Genomic DNA, 24,553 nt, shown 5'->3' on the forward strand with positions numbered 1-24,553 from the left:
GGAACTGAAATACCGGGCCGGGCATCAGGCGGATGAGCCCAGCTTCCAGATCCGAGACTATGTAGAGTCCCAGAAGAAGCGCTCCAGCTGCTGCTCCTTCATGTGAATCCCAGGGGGCAGAGAGGAGGCTCTGGAGGCACACAGGATGCAGCCTTCCCCCTCCCAGGCCTGGCTTATTCCAAGAGGCTGAGCCAATGGGGAGAAAGATGGAGGACTCACTGCACAGCCGCTTCCTAGCAGGGAGCTATACTCCAACTCCTACTTGAGTTCCTGCGGTCTCCCCGCATCCACAGGGAGGGTAAAACACTTAGCTTTTATTTTAATAGTACATAATTTAATACCAAAAAAGGCGCCTGGATCCCCAAAAAACCGAGGCTGGGAGCTAGTGGCCCTTTTGCTTTCTAGGACTTGGGGGGCCGGCCCTCCCTCCTAAGCATAACAAAGGTGGTGTTGCTCCAGCTCAGCCCCAGGGGACACAGATGCACTTTGGGGGTGAGGGCAGGTAATGACTCCATCGCACCCTCAGTTCAGCTGGACAGAGGCTCAGGTGACCCCAGCCTTCACTGTCTCCCGCTCTCCAGGAGCTTATCTTCGCCCCATCTCCCAAATAAGTGGGCCCTTGTGCTGTGAGGAAGACCAAAGCCTCAGGGAAGATAAGAGATATGGAGATGGGAGGGGGAGGACAAGGGGCAGAGAGTAGGGTCTAGCTGGCTATCTCTGGCCTTACTAACACCCCCCTGGAGGCATGCCCCTTTTCTCCAGCACACAAGCACATTGGGGCACCTGGAAATATTGGTTCCAGGCTCCTGTTCTCTGGACTTCAGATCCTGGGGGAGCCCCTCCCCCCCCTGAATCCCTGGCTTAGCTACCTTCCTGCCTGTGCACCTAAAAACCTCAGGTCAGAACTAGGAAAAGAGTTTTGTTTTTATTTTTTTGAAATGGAGTCTCGTTCTGTCGCCCAGGCTGAGGTGCAGTAGTGCAATCTCCGCTCACTACAACCTCCACTCCCTGGGGCTCAAGCGATCCTCCCACCTCAGCCGCCGAAGTAGCTGGGACTATAGGTGTGTACCATCACACCTGGCTAATTTTTGTATTTTTTGTAGACACAGGGTTTCGCCATGTTGCCCAGGCTGGTCTTGAATTCCTGAGCTCAAGCAACCTGCCGGCCTCGGCCTCCCAAAGTACTGGGATTACACGCAGAAGGCACCATGCCCAGGCTAGATGTGTCTTATCCCAATCCTTTGGCAGGCATGCAGCTCCACAGGCGATTTCTTCAAGCAGCTGAAGTGTTTAGCCCTCCTGGGTTAAGAGCCAGATAAGGAGAAATCCCTTTCCTAGGTTTGGAATGTGTTGTGAAAAAAAAGAGAAATCCCTGGCTCCTGGAGCTGGTGGGAGACAAGATTAAGCAAACCTCCCCTGACATGTATCCCTTTGACCCCAAGCTCTGCCTCCTCCCTGACCACCCATGCCCTTTCCTTTAACTTCTCAAACAGATACCAGGGCCTAAACTGCTTTACCTCCCCTCCTACTGAGTCAGGTTAGGTGGTGGGAGGTCACCCATTTCCGAGTTAAACCAATGCAATATGAGTAAAACAAAGTCATGTGGGTATGTCTGGGGTAGAGAGAGGGGTAGCAAGTTCATGTGTCCTCCTTGGTCACATATCTCCCAAAGCTCCGATCCCTGCCATGGGAAGTGGACAGGAAACATGAGGTCATGACCTGCAGGCATCTTTACTGCAGCTCTGCCGGCCTGGAGGGGGAGAGGGGGAGGAAGAAGTATGCGCTGCACATTTCTGAGGCTACTGCATTTGCTTTCAAGGCAGAAATCTTGCTCTGAGCAGTCAGCGGCTCCAGTTTGGGCCCGATAAGGAAGTTCTCCGTGGCCTCCCTCAGGCAGAGCAGGGAGGAGGCTGACATTGCCAGTCTCTTCTGGGGCCCAAGGCAGGTTGCAGGAGATCCAATCCCATAGACAGCTCTGGGCCTCTTGCATTTGAGTTTTTCAGAATTAAACTGCAGTATTTTGGAAAGCACATCCTGTCCACTGTTTCTTTGAAGTGAGTGGGGGGGGGGGGTCTTGTTGAAGGAATTGTCATTCACTGCCAAAATCATTCCATCCTCCTTCCTCAGTGTCTGTCCTCAGATGGTCAGCTCCCCGCTCAACAGACTGTCTCCCGCCTCTGTGACCAGCCTCTCTTTGGCAAGAGGGAGCTAGAAGGCTTTACAGTCCTAATCATTTTTCTGTTGGAAAAAAAAAAAAAAAACCAAGGCTCCTTTCCCTGTGGCGTGTACCCAGAGGTTGATTACCTGAGTCTGTCCTGCCTCTCCCCACCCCACCTCCCTAGCCAAACGCTGCTGCCAAAGCCCACGCTATTGCCCTAGATGGCCTGTCTTCAGCGGGCTGCCCCTCGAGGTCCCAGGCTCTCCGCGGAGCCCTCACCTTCCCAGCAGGGATCAGAACCTGCACTCCTCTATGCGAGTCCTGGGACAGCACAAAGTGGATTAGGGTTAGGGTTCCCACAAACGGAAAAATGTTATTCAAACAACTCTGTAGGGTCCGAGGAGGCCCTCCGTCTTAATTCTCGAGACTGACCGGCCCTCGCTGCCCCGAGCGGGAGCAGTTGCCCCGGCAACAGCCGCTCCCTCTCAACTGGAGCTGCACCCAGGCTTTGGCTAAAGGCTGTTAAAACGTTGGCCAGGTGCGGTGGCTCACGTCTGTAATCCCAGGGCGGATCACCTGAGGTCAGGAGTTTGAAACCATCCTGGCCAACATGGCGAAATTTCGTCTCTACTAAAAATACAAAAATTAGCGGGGCGTGGTGGTGCGCGCCTGTAACCCCAGCTGCTCGGGAGGCTGAGGCAGGGGAATCGCTTGAACCCGGGAGGCGGAGGTTGCAGTGATCCGAGATCGCGCCACGGCAGTCCAGCCTGGGCGACAGAGCGAGACTCCGTCTCAAAAAAAAAAAAAAAAGTTAGGGTCCTTTACCCGAGGGCCGGCTTTCCTCACTCCCCGCCACAGGTAGGGGAAACCAGGCCGGAGCCGGCGGGCCCACCCGCCCAGAACCGGGAATTCGGCGAGCCCCGCCCCTGCCACCCCAGCGCCGGCCGCTCGGTAACAAACACTTCCACTTCCTGAGCGCTAGTCTTCGCCCGCCGCGGGGCGCCGCGCCGAGCGCAGGCCCCGCCCCGCGCGTTCCCAATGGCCGGCGCCGTTCACCCGGCCGGAGCGCCCAGGCCTGCAGCCCCCTATTGGCCCGCGGAGGTCCCCACCCTCAGCGCGGCCCCGCCCCCGGGGTAAGGAGCCGGGGCGGACTCTGGGACGCTCAGACGCCGCGCGGGGCGGGGATTGGTCTGTGGTCCTCTCTCGGCTCCTCGCGGCTCGCGGCGGCCGACGGTTCCTGGGACACCTGCTTGCTTGGCCCGTCCGGCGGCTCAGGGCTTCTCTGCTGCGCTCCCGGTTCGCTGGACGGGAAGAAGGGCTGGGCCGTCCCGTCCCGTCCCCATCGGAACCCCAAGTCGCGCCGCTGACCCGTCGCAGGGCGAGATGAGCGCGGACGCAGCGGCCGGGGCGCCCCTGCCCCGGCTCTGCTGCCTGGAGAAGGGTCCGAACGGCTACGGCTTCCACCTGCACGGGGAGAAGGGCAAGTTGGGCCAGTACATCCGGCTGGTGGAGCCCGGCTCGCCGGCCGAGAAGGCGGGGCTGCTGGCGGGGGACCGGCTGGTGGAGGTGAACGGCGAAAACGTGGAGAAGGAGACCCACCAGCAGGTGGTGAGCCGCATCCGCGCCGCACTCAACGCCGTGCGCCTGCTGGTGGTCGACCCCGAGACGGACGAGCAGCTGCAGAAGCTCGGCGTCCAGGTCCGAGAGGAGCTGCTGCGCGCCCAGGAAGCGCCGGGGCAGGCCGAGCCGCCGGCCGCCGCCGAGGTGCAGGGGGCTGGCAACGAAAATGAGCCTCGCGAGGCCGACAAGAGCCACCCGGAGCAGGTAAGCGGGGCCCAAGCCGCGCAGGCTGGCATGGAGTGGGAGGAGGATCCGGAGAGACCCAGGTGCCCCGGCCGTCCAGCCCCGCGCCCGCCGTCGTTTTTCTGAAACTCGAGCTGCGAGGGGGAGACCGCTTCCGCCCGCCGACCAGGCGCCCTGACACATCCTAGGCAGGCCTGGGGCTGCGTCCCGCGACCTCCTCTCCTTCCCAGGCTGTGCTGGGAGCTTGAGCGCCTTTGCCGCCTGCACCTCTTGTTCCCTGGCCTTTGGGAGGGCGGCGCAGGGGAACCCAGCCCCCTTCCCTCGGGTCTGTGGGTGTCTGCTCCCGTTCCTCGGAATCCCCCAATCCTGCTCCTTCCCTGGTGCCCTCTCCTCGTTCACCCCAGTCCGCAGATGGGCCGGGGAGAAAGGGCTCTCCGCCCCAGAGGTGCCAGCTTCGCCCGCCACTCCTACTTCAAAAGCTAGAGGAATAGCATTACTCCTCCTGTGTGGAGCCCCGGCGCGAGGAGGCCCTCTCCGCAGCCCGCCGGTGTGTGTCCTGAACTTCAGTCCTGCTGGACTTCATCCTCCCGGAGTCCTGTGTGACTTCTAAGGGAGAGGAAGCCCCACCATCTCAGGGCGGTGTGGGGGTTGCCTGGCAGGGAGGAGGAGCCAAGGCATCTCGGAGTGGTGGTTCTGCCACCTCAGAGGATTTACGATTCTCAGGAATGTGAAGAGTAAGCGCCTAGAACTGTATCTGGGAGGGAAGGGGAAAGACCTTGGAAGAAGAAAAAGATGGCCATGGGGAGGAGAGAGAGCTCCTGGGGCTCACGGCCCTGTGTGCGCCAGCGGAGCTCACGGTGAGCCGGTGGTCTTGCCCTGGCCTTGCCATGGTCACTCTGGTGCCCACACAGCCAGCAGGCCGGTTGCTTTTTGCCCATGTTTGGTGTTTGCCCATGGGATCCCAGTTTGGATCAGCTGCAAGAGGGGCAGCTGGCAAAATAGGAGTTGTGCTGAGCCTCCTGTCCCCAGAGAGTGGAGTGGTGCATTGTGTAGGGCAGGGCGTGAGCCTCCCAGGACCCCTTCAGCTTGCACCACCAGCTCTCCCTGGTGGCAGTGTCTGATGGGAGTGTCCGTGGGGCTACGAGGAGCCTCCTGGACAGAGAAAGGGCACAGTTCGGCATTAAGGTAGAAGGCAAAGCCCTAGAGGATCAACTGGTTTGGTGGAAGTGAGGTCACCAGAAGCCCTGTCCAGCCAGAGCTGGGTGCTGGGAATGCCAGGGCCACCAGGCTCCCACTTCCTGCCCCTGCCAAGCTGGCATTGGCAAGGGGAGGGGGAAGGGATCTGAGCACCCGGAGCAAGGAGGTTGATGCCAGGGAGTTGGGGCCGATGATCTCCAGTCCCAGGCAGAAATCCAGTGTGAACTTTGTGCTGAGTCCATCGATCGATTTGACATTCTTTTTTTTTTTTTTTTTTGGACTTTGGCACCCACACAAATACCCACCCACCCCCACCCCCCACAAGTTGCAGTCTCGTTCAGCTCCTCCCTTTGCCCTTTTGGTTATGCTGCTGGGTGCCAGAGGGCCTGGGAGGCGAACGTGGAGGCCTGGCATAGCACACGTGCGCAAAGGCAGCAGCTTTGAGCTTCCTGGGTGAGCACAGACTCAGATTCCTGCATGTTTTGGAGGGACACCTACATTTGTGTGTACTTTGTTAGGCCAGGAGATGAGAGGAGAGCCACCAGCAAATCCTGGGGACACCATCACCAGCCAAGTCCCAGGACTTCTGAGTTCTGGTTCTCCCATCTGTGAGATGGAGGCATTGGGCGATGTGATGCCTGCCTTCTCTAGAATTATAGAAATGACGTGAAGCACTTGAGCCCCTTACTAAATGCTGAACTGCACTCCTTCATGCCTGGCGTTTGAATCCCAGCTCCTCTAAACTGACTCCTAGTCAACACCATTGAGTCCTTCTAGCAGAAAATCCTCTCCTCTCAATCCTGTGTGTTGAGCATACAGACACCCATGTGGTTATTAGAAAAAATGTTAACAGACATTGTAAGAGTTCGTTTTTCTAAAACACACCCGTTTCCTACATAAAGCATCAAATGGAGGTTTGCCAATTCGTTTTAGTCTGAATTTGTGTGCAAGGTGGGGCTGTTCCCTTGTCTTCATTAGCCCTCCACTTACTAAGTGATGATATCAGTGGAAAAGTGTGGCGCAGAGAGTGGTTGGCTGGGTGGCCTCTGGCTGGGAAGACCAGCTGTGTCCAGAACCACTCAGGGCAGAGGCTGAGGGGTGCCTGTAACACTGGCCATCCCCGCTGGGGAGTCTAGGCCTAAGGAGGTGGAAGTGGCTCTCCAGCTCTGCCCACCGGCTTTGCTTTGTGGATGGCCTTCCCCGCCTGCCCCGTGGGGAGAGAGGAGCAGCAAGACCCGCCCTGCTGTTCCCCTGCTTAAAGCCCTCCTCCCCCCATTCACCACCAGTCACAGGATGAGGCCTAAACCCTTGAGTCTGGGTTCAGAGTGCCGGCCGGGCAGAGCCGAGCCAGCTCAGCTGTACTAGCCAGGCTGTGCGAAGCCAAGTTACCTCACCTCTGTAAGCCTCCATTTCCTCTTGTGTAAGTTGGGGGTTATGGCAGCTACCTCGGAATTGCATGAGGCTGTGTGTAAAGCACGTAGCTCAGTGCCTGGCACTGAGTCCAGGCTCAGCCAGCCTTTGCAGTTGGTATTGGAATGAATACATATTTCATAGTGATCATTGCACACCTATCATGGGGCAGCTAGCGCTGGGTCAGCCTGCCTAGTTGGGCAAATGCCACTGTGGCCAAGCCTGGCACACAGTCAGTGCCTGATCGATGGTCACTGTGGGTTAAGAATGATACGTTGTGGCCAGGTGTGGTGGCTCACACCTGTAATCCCAGCACTTTGGGAGGCCAAAGTGGGAGGATCGCCTGAGCCCAGGAGTTTGAGACCAGCCTAGGCAACATGACAAGACCCTGTCTCTATTAAATTTTTTCTTTTTTTTTTTTAAGAGTTATATGCTGTTCCATGGCCCTTCTCCATCTGGCAGCCTGTTCTCACCACTGCCTCCCTACCCCCAAAACCACACCCAGGGTCCGAATTCCCCTCTAGCCTCTAAGCCTTCACACCCTGACACTTCTGTCCCCTCCCAGGGAGCCTGTCCTTAATCCAGTAGGCAGAGTTAGCATTTCCTTTCCTTCACTTTTTTTGTTTTTGTTTTTGTTTTTGTTTTTTTTGAGACAGATTCCACCCAGGCTGGAGTGGTGTCGCAACCTCGCCTCGCTGCAGCCTCGACCTCCAGGGCTCAATCGATCCTCCCACCTCATTCTCCCTAGTAGCTGGGACTACAGGCATGCACCACTATTCCCAGCTAATTTTTAAATTCTTTGTAGAGATGGAGTTTCACCGTGTTGCCCAGGCTGGTCTTGAACTCCTGGGCTGAGGTGATCTGCCAGCCTCGGCCTCCGCCTCCTCTTTGTCCTTACATCTTTTATCGCTCTAAACACACAATATTTTAATCATCTGTTTGTGACCTTTTTCTCCACTACGTGGTAAGCCCAAGGGCATCAACTGTGGCCTATTTGTGTTTCTATCCCCAGCGCTGTCCTTGGCACATGGTAGGGAGGCTCTCAAAAACAGTTTTTGAATTAATGAATGAATATATAACAACAGTCAGGGACCTTTGTCCTCATTCAGCTCATCCCGCCCCGCCCAGAGATTGGAATTCCAGATAGAACCTACCCACTCTTCTTTCTTGCCTGCTAGCAGCTTCTATTTGAAAACTAGAAAGCCAAAAGTCCAGGCTTTGGGGTCAGCCAGATCAGTGTTTGAATCCCAGCTCTGCCGTGTGCTGGTTCTGGGATCCTGGGAGTTCATTTTTCCCTGCAACCCTCAGCCTCCACCTCTGTGAAAGGCACTGCCTGCAGGGTTATTGGGAAGATTTGGTGGCATGACAGGTTTGTAAATGAAAGTGCTAGTTTGGGGTGTTTCCTGCCAGCCCTGACCCTGATCCCAGAGTCAGAGTGCAGGCACCCCAGGGAGCAAGGTGGGTGGTGGGGCACAGTTAGCTGGAGGGCCATCAACCTCTTTCCCAGGGCGGGCGGGCCATTTTACACCAACCAAGTTGGAGCTCTGGTAGGGCAGAACAGAGCTTGAGCTGCTGGGTGTTTGGATTTGAAATGGACAGGGTATGTGATTGTTTGTGTGTTGGGATCTCTTTCTTTGCTGGCAAAACAGTGTAGCCCCTGGTTCTTACCTTCAAGCTCCTGTTAACTCAGTAATTCTGGAGATGATTCTCTTGGAGATAGATGGGGGCTTCCTGGCCGGGCGCAGTGACTTGTGCCTGTAATCCCATCACTTCGGGAGGCTGAGGCGGGAGGATCGCTTAAGCCCAGGAGTTTGAGACCAGCCTGGGCAACATAGTGAGACCTCGTCTCTACCAAAAAAACAGGGGGAGGGGGGTGAATGGGGGCTTCCTTCTCAAGGAACTCCATATGTCTAGATGGGGTCCTTCTCCCCTTTCCCAGATGTCCCATCTCAATGGTCCCTGGGAAAGTGGGGTGGGAAATTAATAAGAAACTCAGGCCAGGCACGGTGGCTCACGCCTGTAATCCCAGCACTTTGGGAGGCCGAGGCGGGTGGATCAGTTGAGGTCAGGAGTTGAGGTCAGGAGTTCAAGACCAGCCTGGCCAACATGGTAAAAACCCATCTCTACTAAAAATACAAAAATTAGCGAGGCGTGGTGGCAGGTGCCTGTAATCCCAGCTACTCGGGAGTCTGAGGCAGGAGAATGGCTTGAACCTGGGAGGTGGAGGTTTCAGTGAGCCGAGATCGCGCCACTGCACTCCAGCCCGAGCAGCAGAGTGAGACTCATCTCCAAAATAAAAAAAAAAGAAAGAAGAAGCTCAGCCGAGGTCTTGTTGGTGCTGCAGGACTCTTTACAGGGAGAAACCAGAGCTCTAGACCCCAATAACAAATGTTCCTCTGTTTTCGTTGCTCTAAGATAGAGTGGCCCTACCTGGAAGGAAACAGGTTTGTACAGTGCCTTTAGGCACTCTACCTATGACATAAAGATGTTGACATGCATTTCTTTCTTTCTTTCTTTCTTTCTTTCTTTTTTTTTTTTTTTTTTTTCCTGAGACAGTCTTGCTCTGTTGCCCAGGCTGGAGTGCAGTGGTGTGATCTCGGCTCACTGCAACCTCCGTCTCTCAAGTTCAAGCAATTGTCCTGCCTCAGCCTTCCATGTAGCTAGGATTACAAACACCCGCCACCACACCCTGCTAATTTTTGTATTTTTAGTAGAGACGGAGTTTCACCACGGTGGCCAGGCTGGGTGGCACCTGTCACAACACCCTGCTAATTTTTGTATTTTTAGTAGAGATGGGGTTTCACCACATTGGCCAGGCTGGTTTCAAACTCCTGACCTCAGGTAATCCACCTGCCTCGGTCTCCCAAAGTGCTGGGATTATAGGCATGAGCCACCACACCCAGCCAATATGCATTTCATTGTCCCCCAGACAAATTAGCTATTGTTTTCTCTATTTTGTAGGTTGACAGTAAGTGTTCAATACATGATAGCTACTATTTGTGTCTAGCACTGTGCTAAGTACTAACCTTGCCTGTCTCATTTAATCCACATGACCACCAGTGAGGCAGATATTGGCCCCATTCTCTGCCTATGGAGGCTGAGGCTTGATCAGTTAAGGTGGCCATGGCGGGTCCCAGGACTCTGAGCTAGCGACTCCTCCCACACAGCGCAGGGGTGTGTCTTGGAACCCAACCCTCTGACTCTAGTGCCTGCACAGCCATTTGGCCACATGAGTAGGCTGTGCTTGAAGCCTGACTCTGCCAGGTGTTTCTGCCCATCATATTCTGAGCCACAGCTGGACCATCACAGTGGTATAAATTCAGGCTGCTTGAACTGGCTTCCTGTAAGGATCCAGGGCTTCCAGGTGCTCCTGTCCCTAGCAGGGCATCCTTGCAGTGCCTCAGCCCATAAGTGGCAGGCTCCTGTCCCCATCCCTTCTCACGTGATGTGATAGGTCAATCTGGAATCTGGTAACCAAGTATCTACCCCCGCCCTCACTCCCCAGAACCTGCACAGAGAGCCCCCCTCAAGGGTGGTCTTCACTGTTGACCGAAGCCTTCCCCTCATGGTAGGACAACTCACCATGTCCCCAGACTCCTAGGCAATGTTTAGGTCCCTAGGCCCTAGAAAAGGACAAGAGTTACAGATTCCCTGAGGTCCAGGTCACCTCGGGGTGGTGTGGGAACACACAGAGAATGCTGGCCAGGTTCAAGTCCCACTCACTGCTGGGTGCTGAGAGCTCTGAATTCTCCGAGACAGGCTGCAGCCTCTCCCTGTGCTAAGGTCAGGGGAACAGCAATGGCCAGGGGTATTTAGAGGAGTGTGTTTGGGGCAGTCTCAGGCAGCACAGGTCTGTGCTGTCCGGGCAGCAGCCACCAGCTTCGCGAGGCTCCCGGGCACTCGAGATGTGCTGGTCCACATGCAGACGTGCTGTGTGTGCAAAATGCACACCAGATTTTGAAGCCATTGTACAAATAAAAGGATGTACAATAGCTCAATTGTTAAAAATGGATTACACATTGAAATGATAATATTTTGGGTACATTATGTTAAATAAAATATTCAATTCTACTATTTTTCCTGTTTTTTTTTTTTTTGGAGGCAGAGTCTCGCTCTGTTGCCCAGGCTGGAGTGCAGTGGTGCGATCTCGGCTCACTGCAAGCTCCACCTCCCAGGTTCAAGCGATTCTCCTGCCTCAGCCTCCCAAGTAGCTGTGCACCACCACGCCCAGCTGATTTTTGTATTTTTCTTTTTTAGTAGAGATAGGGTTTCACCATGTTGACCAGGCTGGTCTCAAACTCCTGTGCTCAAGTGATCCACTTGCCTCGTCCTCCCAAAATGCTGGGATTACAGGCATGAGCCACCACACCTGGCCTATTTTTCTTTTCTTTCTTTCTTTCTTTTTTTTTTTTTTTTTTTTTTTGAGACGGAGCCTTGCTCTATCACCCAGGCTGGAGTGCAGTGGCGTGATCTCGGCTCACTGCAACCTCCGCCTCCTGGGTTCAAGCGGTTCTCGTGCCTCAGCCTCTGGAGTAGCTGGGACCACAGGTGTGCACCACCACATATGTCTAATTTTCATATTTTTAGTTGAGACAGGGTTTCACCATGTTGGCCATGCTGGTCTTGAACTCCCGACCTCAGGTGATCCACCTGCCTTGGCCTCCCAAAATGCTGGGATTACAAGTGTGAGCCACTGCACCCGGCCTATTTTTCCTTTTTCAAATGTGATGACTAGAAAATCTTACATTCCACACATGGCTGGCATTATATATCTACTGGACAGTGCTGCTCTGGATCTGAGCTCAAATCCTGCCTTTGCCCGTCAGCCATGTGTACTTGAGCAACTGACTCCAGCTTTTTGAAGCTGGGTTTCCTTTTCTGTGAAATGCTGGCAATAATACTTTCCTTTTAGGACTATAATTGGCTCTTAAGAAGAAAACACATGTAAAGAGCTCGGTGCCTAACACATAGTAGGTGTTCAGTAAATAGCAGCTGCTATTTGTTACTTCAGTGTTGAGCCCCAATTTCACAAGCTCCTTGAAGGTTCTTAATAGCCCCTTGGGACAACCCCTGGGGGTTAAATCTAGAGACTTCTGGGAGGAGGGTGAGGGATGAGGAAGGATGCAGCAGGGAAGGCATGGGGCGGCCAGCCCTGGATGGTGTCCAGCCGGGCTGCAGCCCAGGTACCAGCCTGCTCCATCCCAGGCTTGCCCAGCCCTGCAGAGACCTGAGCCAGACTCTGCCCCCTCTTGCCCCCGTGGGTCTCCATGGCTGGCACAGGGAGAAGAGGTTACTAGCCAGAAGGAGAACCTGTTTCAGACCTCTGAGTCCTGGGGGTGTCTGTCAGACCAGCAGACCTCACTTTAGTTTGTGTCTCCCTCCTGGTTCCCACCCTACCAGACTCCAGGGAAAGCTCTTCCCACTGAGAAATAGGAAGGAAGAGATCAAGGGCTAGGAGCAGTGAGTGACTTTTTTTAAAATGGACACATCCAACATTCCCCTGCCGCCCGCACAGACCTGGAGGGATGTGGAGGGTGGAAGGGGGTCCCATAGAGTAAAATGAGGTGACATCAGGGCCACTACGCAGGGGGCCAGTGACAGCCAAGCCCCCTGTACCTCACCTAGGGTAAGGAGAAGACACCTTCTGCCTAGAGGTGTGGACACTGGCTGAGTGCCTGGAGCCCCTGGTCACTTCCCAGTGCCCCCAGGCTGCCCGTCACACAGCACTCCAGGCAGGGCCAGCTGTCTCCATCCTGGCTTCCTTGAAGAGCTGGCACCAGGCCCAGCCCTGTCTCCAGAATCTGGGGAACAAACTGAGCTGTCTCCCAGAGCAAATATGGCTCTTACACCCAACATACTCCTGACACACACACCCCAGCCCCTGAGAACAGCCAGGGTTCCTTCCTGCCCCCGCCGTCCTGCCCCCTTCCATCCTCTTGTTGGGGCTGATTTTCCTGTATTGGGCATGGGGCACTGGTCTTCTTTGCATAAACAAGAGCCCTGGGCTGGGGGAGGGGCAGTCTTGAGAGGTGGGGTTACCTCTGTTGTTCCCCTGGACACCCAAGTGGTCTTCCTACTCCTCCAGCCCCTTTCCTCTGGGGTCCTGAGCTAGCTGGCTCGAAGGAAGCGGGCTGGGCTGTTTCTGTAGGGCCCATCACCATGGCATCAGCCAGGGAGGGGCTGGGCCCAATGGGGCGTTGGCCCCCAGGCTCCCACAGCCTTCCCTGAAGGGAGGAAGGAGGAGCAGGGAGCGGCCCTGGGCCTGTTCCCCAGAGACGGTCACTGGGATTAGGGTATCGACTTTCCCCAGCTTTCCAGGTGACTGCTGGTGGCGCCTATTGAATTCCGTGCCCGCCATCCGCTCCCTGGACTGCGTGGGTGGAGGTGATGGGGCGGCCACTTAGGGCGCGGTGAAGCTCCCTGGGGGAAAGGACAGATGAAGGGAGGAAGCCTGAGGGTGGAGGAGGCCCCGGGAGAAGGGTGTGGGGGCAGCTCTCCGGGCAGGGTCTTTTCTGGAAAGCCAGCCAGCATTTTGTGAAAGTGAGAGTCTCCAGCCTGTCCAGCCCTGGGTCACCCCGGCCCAGCTGCGCTGCCCATCGGCTGCATGGCCTCATGTTCCCTCCTGTTGATTCTGGCTCTCTGCCAGTCTCCTCTCTGAGCAGATCCTGATTTTGTCTTGAACTTGGGTCTCCCAGGCTGTCGTCGTCACTGGAGGTCCCACTTTGCCCTCCGGAACTCACTGGGGCTATGTTCCTTTTGAGTCTCCTCCTCCCACCATGCTTCGGACCCCTCTGTAGCTGGCTCCTCCTAAGATCCTGGGGGCCACACACCAAGCCCAACATGCCTGGACGTCACTCCCATTTATCCCCTTTCCCCAGAGGCAGAACCCAGCCCTGCCCCAGCTTGGCGGTGAGGGTCCAAGAGCAATGGTGGCTGAGCTCGGCCAGGTACCCCACACCTCCCCATCTTCTCCTCTCAGTGCTGGGCCTGGAGACCACAGGCCAGGCCCCACAGATCCCCAGGGGGGCTGCCCCAAGGGACTCCCCTGCCAGCCCCAGCCTCCACCCAGGCTGGGATGGGCTGGCTTGATGGGCTGACTCAGCAACTGGCACTGACACCTCCTGGAGACAGCTGGGAGGCTCCTGCTAGGGAGGGGTGAGGAGGAACAAGGCTGGTCTCCCTTGAAGAGTGGGAACCCCCCTTCCCATGTGAGGGGAGGAAGTCTCTAGGGACTTGGGAAGGAGGCTCTGCAGGTGCATCGGAGCTGTCTAAATGCTGGTGGGGTCTACCGGGGGCTTCCCATCTCCTTGTCCAGCCACCCCCTCAGGTCCTGGAGCCGCCACAGAGCCACATCTAGACAGAACAGTGGAGCAGGTCCCAGTGCAGGGGAAGGAAACAGAGGGCACCTGAGCCCCTCAGGCTGGGTACCCTGTTTCCCCTTGAACTGCACGACTTGGTGCTGGCAGAGCGGAGCAAGGCTCAAAGCAGGCCCTGGAGCTTTGGCACCATATGTCACTAGGCGAGGGGCACTGGGCTGAAGATCAGTAAGGGAAGCCCACAGCACAGAGACCAGGGCCAGAGGATGGGCATCCCAAAGGCAGCTAGCACAGCCCTGCCCTGCCAGCCGGGGGGGGCGCCCAGAGCCACCTGCCCCCAGTCCAGCCATGCCCCTGCCCTGTCACCCACACCAGGCTTCATCCCCCAGCTCAGGCTGCAGCTCCAGCTGCGAGAGGCCCTGAGCGCCCGGAAGGAAGGCTGTGGTAGGTTGTGGTTTCTTCAGCTCCCAGCCTACCTCCAGCAGAGGCTGCAGCCGATGCCCTGGAGAGAGCCCCTGTCTGCCCTCTGCTGCCTGACTCCTGTTGGGTCCTCACCTCCCAATGGGTTGCCCCATTCTGGACTTGGATCCTTAAGGAGCACCCTGCAGTGTGGTGGAAGGAGGACAGGTTCCAAGTCAGAGACCAGGGTTGGAGTTCTGGCTGTGTGATGTCAGGCAGTGGGCTCCACATCTCTGAGCCTCAGTTTCCCCATCTCAAAAACAGCTGACAAGCCCCAGTCAGGTTGTTATGGGAAGGTTTTTGGGAGCGCAGGGACGGTGGAGGGAGGTTGGAGGAGGTCACTAGAGCTGCCCCCTGCCTGTCCTGAGATTTCACCCTCCCCACTTTCTCAGGGTGTCTGGCTGAAGCAGAAAGCTGCGCCTGTCCTGGTGACGGCGACTGGTCAGACTTGTTTCTGCTCACCTAGGCGGCCCGGGGGAGGGCCTGGCTGGGAGCTTTGTGGAGGGATTAGCTCTAGGGGAGAAGAGCCTCACTTACTCCCGGAACAAGATCCCACAGGGCTGTGGGAGTGCCGGGGGGTGAGCCTGGGGCAGGTGACAGCCGAACTAGCTGGGAGTGGGCCCTGCAGTGAGGCAGGGGGTGGGCCAGGGAGAACAAGGCAAGAGGAGCTTCATTCAGGGTTCCTGAGCCTTTGTGAGCCACTCACGTTTTTACCACTCACTTAACCGTCTTTGTTGTTGGGGTGAGGGGTCCTCGAGCCTGGATTTGGGTATGAAAACCCAGGCAAGAAAGACCTGCCCAAGCCTTTAAAGGAATGCAAAGTCATCCTCTAGCCACCCCCAGAGATCGAAAGGCTGGGGATTGAGTCTCCTGCAGATGGTGGCGGCCTCCTGGGGCTGGCAAGTTGGGACAGAGGCCCATAAGCCCTCCTGGGCGCGCCTTCCCACCCCTCTCGGCCCTCTCCACTCCCAGCTGGGGATTTGGGTTTCAGAGCAGCCTGGCACACACACCCCCACCCCACCAGAATCTCACTCCCAGCTTCCTATGACTATTCATTAGTATTCACAACAATGGGAAAGTCTGGGTGTGCACAGGGATTTTTTACAGTTAGAAAGTGTTTAAGTCAATGACCTCACTGGGCCTCAGCAACCCTGGGAGGCAGATGGCAGTCAGAATGATCCATAAATGACCTGCCCCAGGTCACACAGCTCCTAAACAGGGGAGCTGGAACCTGGCTGGGAGCCTTGACTATCCACTGCTCATTGTCTGATGTGCTGAGTGATAACACAGGGCCAGCAGGCTGGACAGCAGCCAGTGGCCCTGCACCAGGCCTGGAGGAGGGGGAGAGGGACAGGGACTCAGGCGTAGTCCTTGGGCACAGGCTTCGGCTGCCTACACCCATATTCCCTCCATCATACTGTGTGTCCAGGCCTGCAGCTTCTAAGCTGAGCTGCTTACTTTGGACCAAGCATGTTGGAAACTGTTTTCAGCTGAGTCCAAGCACTCGAAATCTGCGTGTGCCCTTTTAGTAGGTCACACCCTCCAGGCCACAGCCACACTGGGCTCCCTTTAGCCCAGCCCTGCTTTTCCCAGTCCCCTCCCCATTCAGGCTCCTCTGTTTCTGGGGTCTCTGTGCTTCCGTTGCCACCTCTGCCCTTGGGCAGCGGTGTCGGGGGAGGAGGTCCTGGAACGCCTGAGGATGGCCCCGTCTTGTCCAGGTCCCCTTGCTGTGCTGAACAATAAGTTTTTGGTTATCTGCTCCTTCTGGCTCCCTTTTGGCTGGGCCATTCGGCTTGGTGGGGGTGAGAGAGAGTTCGAGTATATGGAGGAAGGCTTTACTGTAAACACACTGACCAGCTTTCAGTAAACACCTGCCTCTTCCTCCCCTGCTGCAGAGAACGGGGTACAAAGGGGCTGGGGGTCCTCAGTCATATGCCCCAGGTCCCCAGCCAGGCTGACGGGTGCCACACTCTGCCCCCTCTCCAGGAGGGCCAGACTGAGCCACCAATGGGGAGGGATAGAGGCCCGATCAACACAGCATGTGATTCACCTTAGACTGTCAGAAGGGACAGGCATGTGAGAGCTAACCTGGTCCTACCCCTCATTTGGCAGAAGAGGAAACTGAGGCTTGGACAGAGCAGTGTTTTATCCACATCACCTAAGCAGTTAGCTGCGGTGCTGGGTATCCACACAAGTCTTTTGAGTCCTGGGCCAGAACCCTCTCAAATTGCTGTGTAGGGATCTAGGCAAATTTGCATCCTCCCAAACCTTCCTTGGTTGGGGAGATGGGGACAGGCAGAGGACAGGGAAGGCAGAACCTGGGGCACTGTGGAATAGCCATGGACCCTCCCCTGTCCCTGCAGCGCGAGCTTCGGCCTCGGCTCTGTACCATGAAGAAGGGCCCCAGTGGCTATGGCTTCAACCTGCACAGCGACAAGTCCAAGCCAGGCCAGTTCATCCGGTCAGTGGACCCAGACTCCCCGGCTGAGGCTTCAGGGCTCCGGGCCCAGGATCGCATTGTGGAGGTGATGCTTCTCGCTCTCTTCCTATCTGACTGCCCCCACCCCCTGCAGATCAGCAGCACCTGGGGCAGCCATCATACCATCATGGGCTTGATTAGCCCACGGGCATAGCCAACCTGGAGCTGCTGGATGGATGGGTGGATGGGAGGGAGGGAGGGAAGGGTGGTGGATGGATAGACGGAAGGACAGATGGACTGACTGATGGACTCTTCTCTTACCTCCACTCCCCTGGACTCCTCCTTGCCAAGCAGATACAGTGGGCAGCCTGTGATTCACCCATCGATCAGGGAGATGTCTGGGGCCATCTCCAGAGCTTCCCTGCTGCCAGGCACACAGAGTGGGGTGGCAGTAACAAAACCCCTCTCCTGAGTTAGGCCTTTATTTATTTAGTTTTTTTTTTTTTAAATGGAGTCTCGCTTTGTTGCCCAGGCTGGGGGAGTGCAGTGGCACAATCCCAGCTCACTGCAACCTCCGCCTCCTGGGTTCAAGCGATTCTCCTGCCTCAGCCTCCTGAGTAGCTGGGATTACAGGTGCCCACCACCACGCCTGGCTAATGTTTGCATTTTTAGTAGAGACAGGATTTCACCATGTTGGCCAGGCTGGTCTCAAACTCCTGACCTCAAGTGATCTGCCCGCCTCGGCCTCCCAAAGTGCTGGGATTCCAGGCGTGAGCCACCTCACCCGGCCCCGAGTTAGGCTTTTAGACTCGTGCATTCAGGGCTCTGGTGCTGTGCTCCTGGGAGAGGAAACGTGAACCAAATGCTCAGGCAGGTCCCAGAATCACAGTCTTAGAACCTTAGAGCTAGAGATCAGCTCTCCCAAGACTTCTCATTTTACACGTGAGAAAACCAAGGCCCAGAGAAGGAAGTCGGACAGCAAGTCCTTACCCAGGCTGGGCCCCACCCCGGCCTCCCAGCTCGCTCCCATCCCATCTCTCCCAGCTGTGTTTGTTTAGTCTCGTCTGGATATTTTCGTTGGCCCTTCCCATGTATCCTGCCTCCCCAGCTGACTGTCAATGGGAGGACCCCCAGCCTAGTTCAGGACTCTGCAGAAATGGCGGGGGTCAGTATCCCCAGGTTGTGAACTGCAAACTGGCTGAGAACCAAGGTGGTCACCCCTGCCCCCAACCCCCCTCCACTTACCTGCCCCAGAACCAAGGCCTGTGTCCGTAACGCCTCCCCGACCCTGCCCTGCAGGTGAACGGGGTCTGCATGGAGGGGAAGCAGCATGGGGACGTGGTGTCCGCCATCAGGGCTGGCGGGGACGAGACCAAGCTGCTGGTGGTGGACAGGGAAACTGACGAGTTCTTCAAGAAATGCAGAGTGATCCCATCTCAGGAGCACCTGAATGGTAAGCCAGGTGGGGCCACTGGCCGTCCTGGGGCTGGAGCCCCCCAAGTCAGGGATGTGAGCCAGGGCTAAGACTGCTGGGTCCCAGGCGAGGGGTGGGCAGCTTCCCGGCATGGGTGCTCCCTCCTCCTCCTTCATGGGAGGCCCAGAGGTGTGGGCTGGGGGAGCGGGGGCCTAGTGTAGGGAGTGGCAGTGGGTTTCTGAGGACGGCTTGTGATGGGGTCAGCTGGCATGAGGTCGGTGAGAGAGATGGACAGATCTTCTTATTCCCGGCCAAAGCTGCAGCCCCAAAGGAGGCCCAAGCCCCCAGTCCTGTCCCCACCAGCAGACTTTCAGGGCAGTGTCAATGTGAGGAAAGGGTTAACTCCGGGGAGGCCTCCAGCCTTTGCTTGGTCAGATCAGAGTCCAGTGACGGGGGCCGGTGCCTCCCCCTCCCTCCTCTCAGGTTGTCTTGGAAACTCAGCCTTGCTGGCTCTAGAGAGTAGTGGGTCCCCCTTCAATCCCTGGGCCCCTGCCCTCCCCATCCCCCACCATCACCCTGCCAAGCCTGGCGCCTCCCCCTGCCCAGGCCCGAGCCAAACAGGGCAGGGCTGCTGCACCGGGGCAGGGAGGGGTTAAGCATGCTCTGCTCCTTGGTCTGGACTTTCTCCCTGGGAAGATGGCTCCCTGGAGCGGGCAGGGGTGCTCACTGGGCCATACTGAGGGTGGAACCTCTTGGGACTTTGCAGTGGGTGGGGCCTCCTGGAGACTCAAGGTTGTATGTGTAAAAGGAGATTCACACAAAGGTCCTGCGACTCCCATCGCCAGCTGCAAGGGCCCACTGGGGAGGCCCTGTCCCCTTCTGGCGCAATCCAAGGCCTGAGGCTCCTAGAAGAGGGGATGGCCCCTGGAAGTCCCTAGCTGGCTCTGGGCATGGGAGGTGGGGTACCGCCTTACCCTTATCTCCCAAGTTCATGGAAACCAGGTAACTCAGATAATCCCCTTCTCCACTGAGGGGGAGACTAAGGCCCAGAGAAGCCCCAGCCTTCCTCCTAGGGATCTGATACGAGGAAGACACAGCTGGAATCTGGATTCCACTCAGCTCCTGGGATACTGTCCCCTGCTTCCCCCACCCCTTCACCCTGCAGGTAATTGGCCCCCTCAGACATTCCTCCCTCTTCTGCCTGTCTCTCGGGCTAGAGGGGCTGCAGCCTCTGGCCAAAGGACCTGAAGAGGGAGAGGCCTGGGGACAGTCCCCTCCCCGCAGTCCCTCCAGGATGGCATCCTCACCCTTTCCATAGGGAGGAATGCCCCCCTCTCCGGCTGCCAGGGTTTCACCCTGACCACTGTGAGCTGATGGGGAGGGGACAGTGAGTGACCCTGTGTCCCAGCAGCCTGTCCTTGCCCGGGGAAGGCTGTGGGTGTCAAAAGGGAGGAGAAGATGAGAGTCAGGTATCTCTGGCTGTGTCCTGGACTGGGGACAGGGAAAAGATAACCAGGAATTTTAAGCTAAGAGTTCAGAAGAAGCCCTACACTGACCAGTCCCTGGAGATGGAACAGCCACCCCTGAAGCCATGTGGGACCCCTACCCTGAGTGAGCCCAGTGAAGGTGACCCCAGACCTGTCTTCTCTCCCTCTGACCCCTCCAGGTTTCCCACTGGCTGGGGGAGGGGATACCCAGGACACACCCCTTGAGCCTTCTCGTCCCCCCTCATTTCCTGATTGGCAAATAGGAGTTGGGATTATTTTCTCTTTTTTTCTTTTTCTTTTTCTTTTTTTTGAGATGGAGTCCTGCTCTGTCACCCAGGCTGGAGTGCAGTGGTGCGATCTCGGCTCACAGCAACATCTGCCCCTAGATTCAAGTGATTCTTCTGCCTCAGTCTCCTGAGTAGCCGGGACTACAGCCATGCGCCACCACGCCCAGCAAATTTTTATATTTTTAGTAGAGATGGGGTTTCACTATGTTGGCCAGGATGGTCTCGATCTCTTGACCTTGTGATCCGCCCACCTCGGCCTCCCAAAGTACTGCGATTACAAGTGTGAGCCACCGCGCCTGGCCTTTTTTTTTTTTTTTCCGGACACAGTCTCTGTCACCCAGGCTAGAGTGCAATGGCACAATCTTGGCTCACTGCAACCTCCACCTCCTGGGTTCAAGCAATTCTCCTGCCTCAGCCTCCTGAGTAGCTGGGATTACAGGCGCCTGCCACCATGCCCGGCTAATTTTTGTATTTTTAGTAGGGATAGGGTTTCGCCATGTTGGCCAGGCTGGTCTTGAACTCCTGACCTCAGGTGATCCGCCTGCCACAGTCTCCCAAAGTGCTGGGGTCCCAGTCATGAGCCACCGAGCCCAGACTATTTTCTCTTTCAGTTGAGGCAGGTACTAACTATAGTCTGGGGTGTGGTTCCAATTTTGGTGTCATCATCATCACCTGGGAAGCGTTTGGAAAATGTTGATTCTTAGGCCTGCCCACTAAACCAGAATCTGTGCTGCCAAGGTCCAGGAATCTGTACTTTAACAAGCTTCCCACGTAGGAGTTCCCAGGTAGGAATTCCCAGGTAGGAATTAGGCAGCCATCCTCGAATTTCATCCCCATCTGAGACAATACATTTTTTAAACACCTTGTGACCCATCAGTGCCTCATAAGATCAATTTAGTAGATAGAGACCAGCAGGTTTTTTGGTTTGTTTTTTTTGTTTTGTTTTGTTTTGTTTTGTTTTGCCAGAGTCTTGCTGTGTTGCCCAGGCTGGAGTGTAGTGGCGTGATCTCGGCTCACTGCAACCTCCACCTTCTGGGTTCAAACAATTTTCCCACCTCAGCCTCCCAAGTAGCTAGGATTACAGGCGTGTGCCACCATGCCCAGCTAATTTTCTTTTTGTCTTTTTTAGTAGAGACGGGGTTTCACCATGTTGGCCAGGCTGGTCTCAAACTCCTAACCTCAAGTGATCCAGGTGCCTCGGCCTCCCAAAGTGCTGGGATTACTGGTGTGAGCCACTATGCCTGGCCCAGACATTTTTTTGTTTTTTTTAATGAAATGAAATTAAAAATATCAAAGAACACTGTAGTAAGGGTGTTGCTTTGTGAAACTTTTATCACACAAAATCTTTGTGTGTGCTGAGTCATCAAAATGGCAAACGTAGGCCAGACATTTGCTCACACCTGTAATCCCAACACTTTGGGAGGCCAAGGTGGAAGGATTGCTTGGGGCTAGGAGTTTGAGACCATCCTGCATGACATGGCAAGGCCCCATCTCTATAAAAAAAAAATTTTTTTTAAATAAATAAGGCAAATGTATTCATGGTGGGTGGTAGTCAAAAAAGTTTGAGATGTTGACCCAGGGAACAAGATCTAATAATCTGCCCAAACCCAACTCCTACCTCCTCTCCACGCTCTATTCCATCCCCGTTCTGGACTCACCTCTGCTCTGTCCTTTGCCTAGGTCCCCTGCCTGTGCCCTTCACCAATGGGGAGATACAGAAGGTAAGGGCGGGTCCCCTGTCTCTTTGGATTTCAATCCTTGGGGTGCATGAGACAGATCAGAAGGTGCTGTGGTTGGTAGGATAGCCATCTGACTAAGGCCAAAACCCCAGGGTCCCCAGTTCCAGCTCCTTCTTCAGCTCCAAGCTATAGAACTGCCAGAACCCTCTTGGCCTCTGCCTGGGGCCAAAGCTGTCAGGAGGGAGCGGGCTGGCTGGGCCCCTCTGCAGCCCGCCATCCTGGGTGACAAGCCCCCGCCTCCAACTCCCCACCATACAGAAGGGGCCATTCTTCCCCCCAAGAACAGAGCTTCAGTGTCTGGCCACGGGCAGCCGGGCCCCTGCTACTTCTAGTCTGGGTTGGAAGAACAAAGCCCCTCCTCCCCCCTTCCCTGGGCAGAAGGGAAAGGGGGTGAGGCCCGGGGAAGAGATGGTGGGGCTGGGCGCCAGCTGAAGCCATGGAGGAACCCAGGAAGGGGCTGGGTGCCAAGCTGACGCCCCAGCCAAAGCCTTCGCTCTGGGACAGGCCGACTCAGTCAGGCCACAGAGCAGGAACTCTGCAGGGTCTGCTTAAAGGTTCCCCTTCCCTAGGAGCTCCTGCCAGGGTACTTGGCAAGGGGGAGGGCCCTTGGACCCAGCCCTCAACCTTCTTTCACCTCATCTTTGGATCTAGAACTTTCCATCCACCTTCTTCTTTCAAGGCCCTCCTTTGCTGCTTCAGGGTTAGGGTTTCAGGATTCCTGGGGTCAAATCCTGGCAAACAGTCAGGTGGACCACATGAGATTCAGGGAGCACCACATGGGCTCCCCATGCCCCCATGTGTCCCCACATTCCAAGAAGCCCCTCCCTGGTCACTGGCCCAAAAGGCAAGCCAGTACCTAAAAGCCACATTGGAGTGGCCCAGGGAGAGGGAGCGGTTCAGCTAATCCCATGATGGTCTGTTCCCATCCCATCCCTCCAGCCTGAGCAGTAGAACCAGCCTGCCCTCTGATCCCCAAAGGAATGTAAAAAGGAGCCCCAGCAGGCTCAGGAGGTGGGAACCAGGGGTGGGTGGCCAGGGCATCAGTGCTACCTCTTCTCAGTCTGAGGCCCCTACTTCCCCAGGAGCTCCCTCCCTCCTCAGGACCCCCTCACCCCATCCTCTGACAACCCACAACCCTCTCCTCTCTGCCAGGAGAACAGTCGTGAAGCCCTGGCAGAGGCAGCCTTGGAGAGCCCCAGGCCAGCCCTGGTGAGATCCGCCTCCAGTGACACCAGCGAGGAGGTAGGCCAGCCATGCGGGGGGTGGCAACTGGGTTACAGGAAGCCGATTCCCAGGCCCCACTTGTTCCTGGCACACCAGCCTGCCTTTGAGGTCACATGCTGAGCCGCATTCTGTTCTTGTGACCTGGCTTCCCTGGGCACGGCCCCAACGGAGCCACCTCACCAAGGCTGAGGACCAGGGAGCCTAATGAGGGACTGACTCCCAACTTCCTGCCCCCACTTCTCTTTACAGCTGAATTCCCAAGACAGCCCCCCAAAACAGGACTCCACAGCGCCCTCGTCTACCTCCTCCTCCGACCCCATCCTAGACTTCAACATCTCCCTGGCCATGGCCAAAGAGAGGGCCCACCAGAAACGCAGCAGCAAACGGGCCCCGCAGATGGACTGGAGCAAGAAAAACGAACTCTTCAGCAACCTCTGAGCGCCCTGCTGCCACCCAGTGACTGGCAGGGCCGAGCCAGCATTCCACCCCACCTTTTTCCTTCTCCCCAATTACTCCCCTGAATCAATGTACAAATCAGCACCCACATCCCCTTTCTTGACAAATGATTTTTCTAGAGAACTATGTTCTTCCCTGACTTTAGGGAAGGTGAATGTGTTCCCGTCCTCCCGCAGTCAGAAAGGAGACTCTGCCTCCCTCCTCCTCACTGAGTGCCTCATCCTACCGGGTGTCCCTTTGCCACCCTGCCTGGGACATCGCTGGAACCTGCACCATGCCAGGATCATGGGACCAGGCGAGAGGGCACCCTCCCTTCCTCCCCCATGTGATAAATGGGTCCAGGGCTGATCAAAGAACTCTGACTGCAGAACTGCCGCTCTCAGTGGACAGGGCATCTGTTACCCTGAGACCTGTGGCAGACACGTCTTGTTTTCATTTGATTTTTGTTAAGAGTGCAGTATTGCAGAGTCTAGAGGAATTTTTGTTTCCTTGATTAACATGATTTTCCTGGTTGTTACATCCAGGGCATGGCAGTGGCCTCAGCCTTAAACTTTTGTTCCTACTCCCACCCTCAGCGAACTGGGCAGCACGGGGAGGGTTTGGCTACCCCTGCCCATCCCTGAGCCAGGTACCACCATTGTAAGGAAACACTTTCAGAAATTCAGCTGGTTCCTCCAAACCCTTCAGCCTCCGTGTGTTCCTTGGAAGTTTTGTCCTCTGGCCTTGGACCCCTTATAGGTAGAAATTGAGAAATGGTAAGCCAAGGTGGTCTTTGGCTGGGAGGGTGGGGTACACTGGAGGGAGGGCCATCAAGGGCTCCCTGTGACCCCAAGCCTGGGTAGCTTTAGCTAGAGGGCCTAGCTGCAGTCCTGTAGGAAGGAAGATGCATGCACCCAGCCGGGTATTCAGCTTGGTGTGGTCAGTGTGCCTGTGTGCTGGGCTGCAAGCACCGATTGTGGGCTGGGGACCCCTTGTCTAACGGGGATATTTACAAGGGGAAGTGGGAGCTCAGACCAACGTTCTCAGAGGACTCTGGGAGGTTCCTTTAATTCCAGAAGCGTGGAAAGTGTGTCCCAGGATGGAGCTGGGTTTGGAATGTGAGGACTTGGCTTTACTCTTTCTGCCTATAGCCAGTGGGGTGCAGAATTCCCAGGGGCAGGCTGGGCTGGTGCCAGATCCTCTAT

The 24,553-nt window shown here is 56.2% G+C and overlaps 2 protein-coding genes, 1 long non-coding RNA gene and 1 other non-coding gene across 8 annotated transcripts in view, besides 9 other annotated features; 3 read left to right on the forward strand and 1 right to left on the reverse strand.

The window, feature by feature from the left end:
- The window catches only part of RAB37 (RAB37, member RAS oncogene family), a 76,205-nt gene extending 74,175 nt beyond the window's left edge, over nt 1-2,030 (forward strand). For all 5 annotated transcript variants that reach the window (NM_175738.5, NM_001330471.2, NM_001163989.3 and 2 more), the window contains one exon: nt 1-2,030. In NM_175738.5, coding sequence (NP_783865.1) covers nt 1-106 — 106 coding nt within the window. In that variant the 3' untranslated portion in view covers nt 107-2,030.
- On the reverse strand, nt 295-4,562 carry SLC9A3R1-AS1 (SLC9A3R1 antisense RNA 1). The gene is made up of 3 exons (NR_187307.1): nt 3,758-4,562; nt 3,268-3,622; nt 295-2,238 (listed from the first exon to the last, which is right to left on the reverse strand). It is a non-coding gene; the product is annotated as an SLC9A3R1 antisense RNA 1 (long non-coding RNA).
- Nucleotides 1,877-2,472: an enhancer, noted in NCBI's record as "H3K4me1 hESC enhancer chr17:72743321-72743916 (GRCh37/hg19 assembly coordinates)". NCBI's record gives its function as "activates a minimal SCP1, AML or CMV promoter by ChIP-STARR-seq in primed H9 embryonic stem cells {active_cell/tissue: H9 hESC(primed)}" and the evidence as "EXISTENCE:reporter gene assay evidence [ECO:0000049][PMID:30033119]".
- Nucleotides 2,867-3,556: a silencer, noted in NCBI's record as "silent region_8939". NCBI's record gives its function as "represses an Ori minimal core promoter by ATAC-STARR-seq in GM12878 lymphoblastoid cells {active_cell/tissue: GM12878}" and the evidence as "EXISTENCE:reporter gene assay evidence [ECO:0000049][PMID:35858748]".
- On the forward strand, nt 3,308-3,394 carry MIR3615 (microRNA 3615). Its single transcript, NR_037409.1, has one exon. It is a non-coding gene; the product is annotated as a microRNA 3615 (primary transcript).
- NHERF1 (NHERF family PDZ scaffold protein 1) lies at nt 3,323-24,048 on the forward strand. Its single transcript, NM_004252.5, has 6 exons — nt 3,323-3,982; nt 16,707-16,868; nt 18,062-18,215; nt 21,631-21,671; nt 22,842-22,931; nt 23,163-24,048. Exons 1-6 carry the CDS (start codon nt 3,542-3,544, stop codon nt 23,349-23,351), a joined length of 1,077 nt encoding a protein of 358 aa, NP_004243.1. The 5' UTR covers nt 3,323-3,541; the 3' UTR covers nt 23,352-24,048.
- Nucleotides 3,761-4,386: an enhancer, noted in NCBI's record as "H3K27ac-H3K4me1 hESC enhancer chr17:72745205-72745830 (GRCh37/hg19 assembly coordinates)". NCBI's record gives its function as "activates a minimal SCP1, AML or CMV promoter by ChIP-STARR-seq in naive H9 embryonic stem cells {active_cell/tissue: H9 hESC(naive)}" and the evidence as "EXISTENCE:reporter gene assay evidence [ECO:0000049][PMID:30033119]".
- Nucleotides 5,878-6,419: an enhancer, noted in NCBI's record as "H3K4me1 hESC enhancer chr17:72747322-72747863 (GRCh37/hg19 assembly coordinates)". NCBI's record gives its function as "activates a minimal SCP1, AML or CMV promoter by ChIP-STARR-seq in naive H9 embryonic stem cells {active_cell/tissue: H9 hESC(naive)}" and the evidence as "EXISTENCE:reporter gene assay evidence [ECO:0000049][PMID:30033119]".
- Nucleotides 12,041-12,787: an enhancer, noted in NCBI's record as "H3K27ac-H3K4me1 hESC enhancer chr17:72753485-72754231 (GRCh37/hg19 assembly coordinates)". NCBI's record gives its function as "activates a minimal SCP1, AML or CMV promoter by ChIP-STARR-seq in primed H9 embryonic stem cells {active_cell/tissue: H9 hESC(primed)}" and the evidence as "EXISTENCE:reporter gene assay evidence [ECO:0000049][PMID:30033119]".
- Nucleotides 12,788-13,535: an enhancer, noted in NCBI's record as "H3K27ac-H3K4me1 hESC enhancer chr17:72754232-72754979 (GRCh37/hg19 assembly coordinates)". NCBI's record gives its function as "activates a minimal SCP1, AML or CMV promoter by ChIP-STARR-seq in naive H9 embryonic stem cells {active_cell/tissue: H9 hESC(naive)}" and the evidence as "EXISTENCE:reporter gene assay evidence [ECO:0000049][PMID:30033119]".
- Nucleotides 13,536-14,282: an enhancer, noted in NCBI's record as "H3K27ac-H3K4me1 hESC enhancer chr17:72754980-72755726 (GRCh37/hg19 assembly coordinates)". NCBI's record gives its function as "activates a minimal SCP1, AML or CMV promoter by ChIP-STARR-seq in naive and primed H9 embryonic stem cells {active_cell/tissue: H9 hESC(naive and primed)}" and the evidence as "EXISTENCE:reporter gene assay evidence [ECO:0000049][PMID:30033119]".
- Nucleotides 14,283-15,030: an enhancer, noted in NCBI's record as "H3K27ac-H3K4me1 hESC enhancer chr17:72755727-72756474 (GRCh37/hg19 assembly coordinates)". NCBI's record gives its function as "activates a minimal SCP1, AML or CMV promoter by ChIP-STARR-seq in primed H9 embryonic stem cells {active_cell/tissue: H9 hESC(primed)}" and the evidence as "EXISTENCE:reporter gene assay evidence [ECO:0000049][PMID:30033119]".
- Nucleotides 17,683-18,434: an enhancer, noted in NCBI's record as "H3K27ac-H3K4me1 hESC enhancer chr17:72759127-72759878 (GRCh37/hg19 assembly coordinates)". NCBI's record gives its function as "activates a minimal SCP1, AML or CMV promoter by ChIP-STARR-seq in primed H9 embryonic stem cells {active_cell/tissue: H9 hESC(primed)}" and the evidence as "EXISTENCE:reporter gene assay evidence [ECO:0000049][PMID:30033119]".

This window comes from Homo sapiens, chromosome 17 (genome assembly GCF_000001405.40).
Source record: "Homo sapiens chromosome 17, GRCh38.p14 Primary Assembly".
Lineage (NCBI taxonomy): Eukaryota > Metazoa > Chordata > Mammalia > Primates > Hominidae > Homo > Homo sapiens.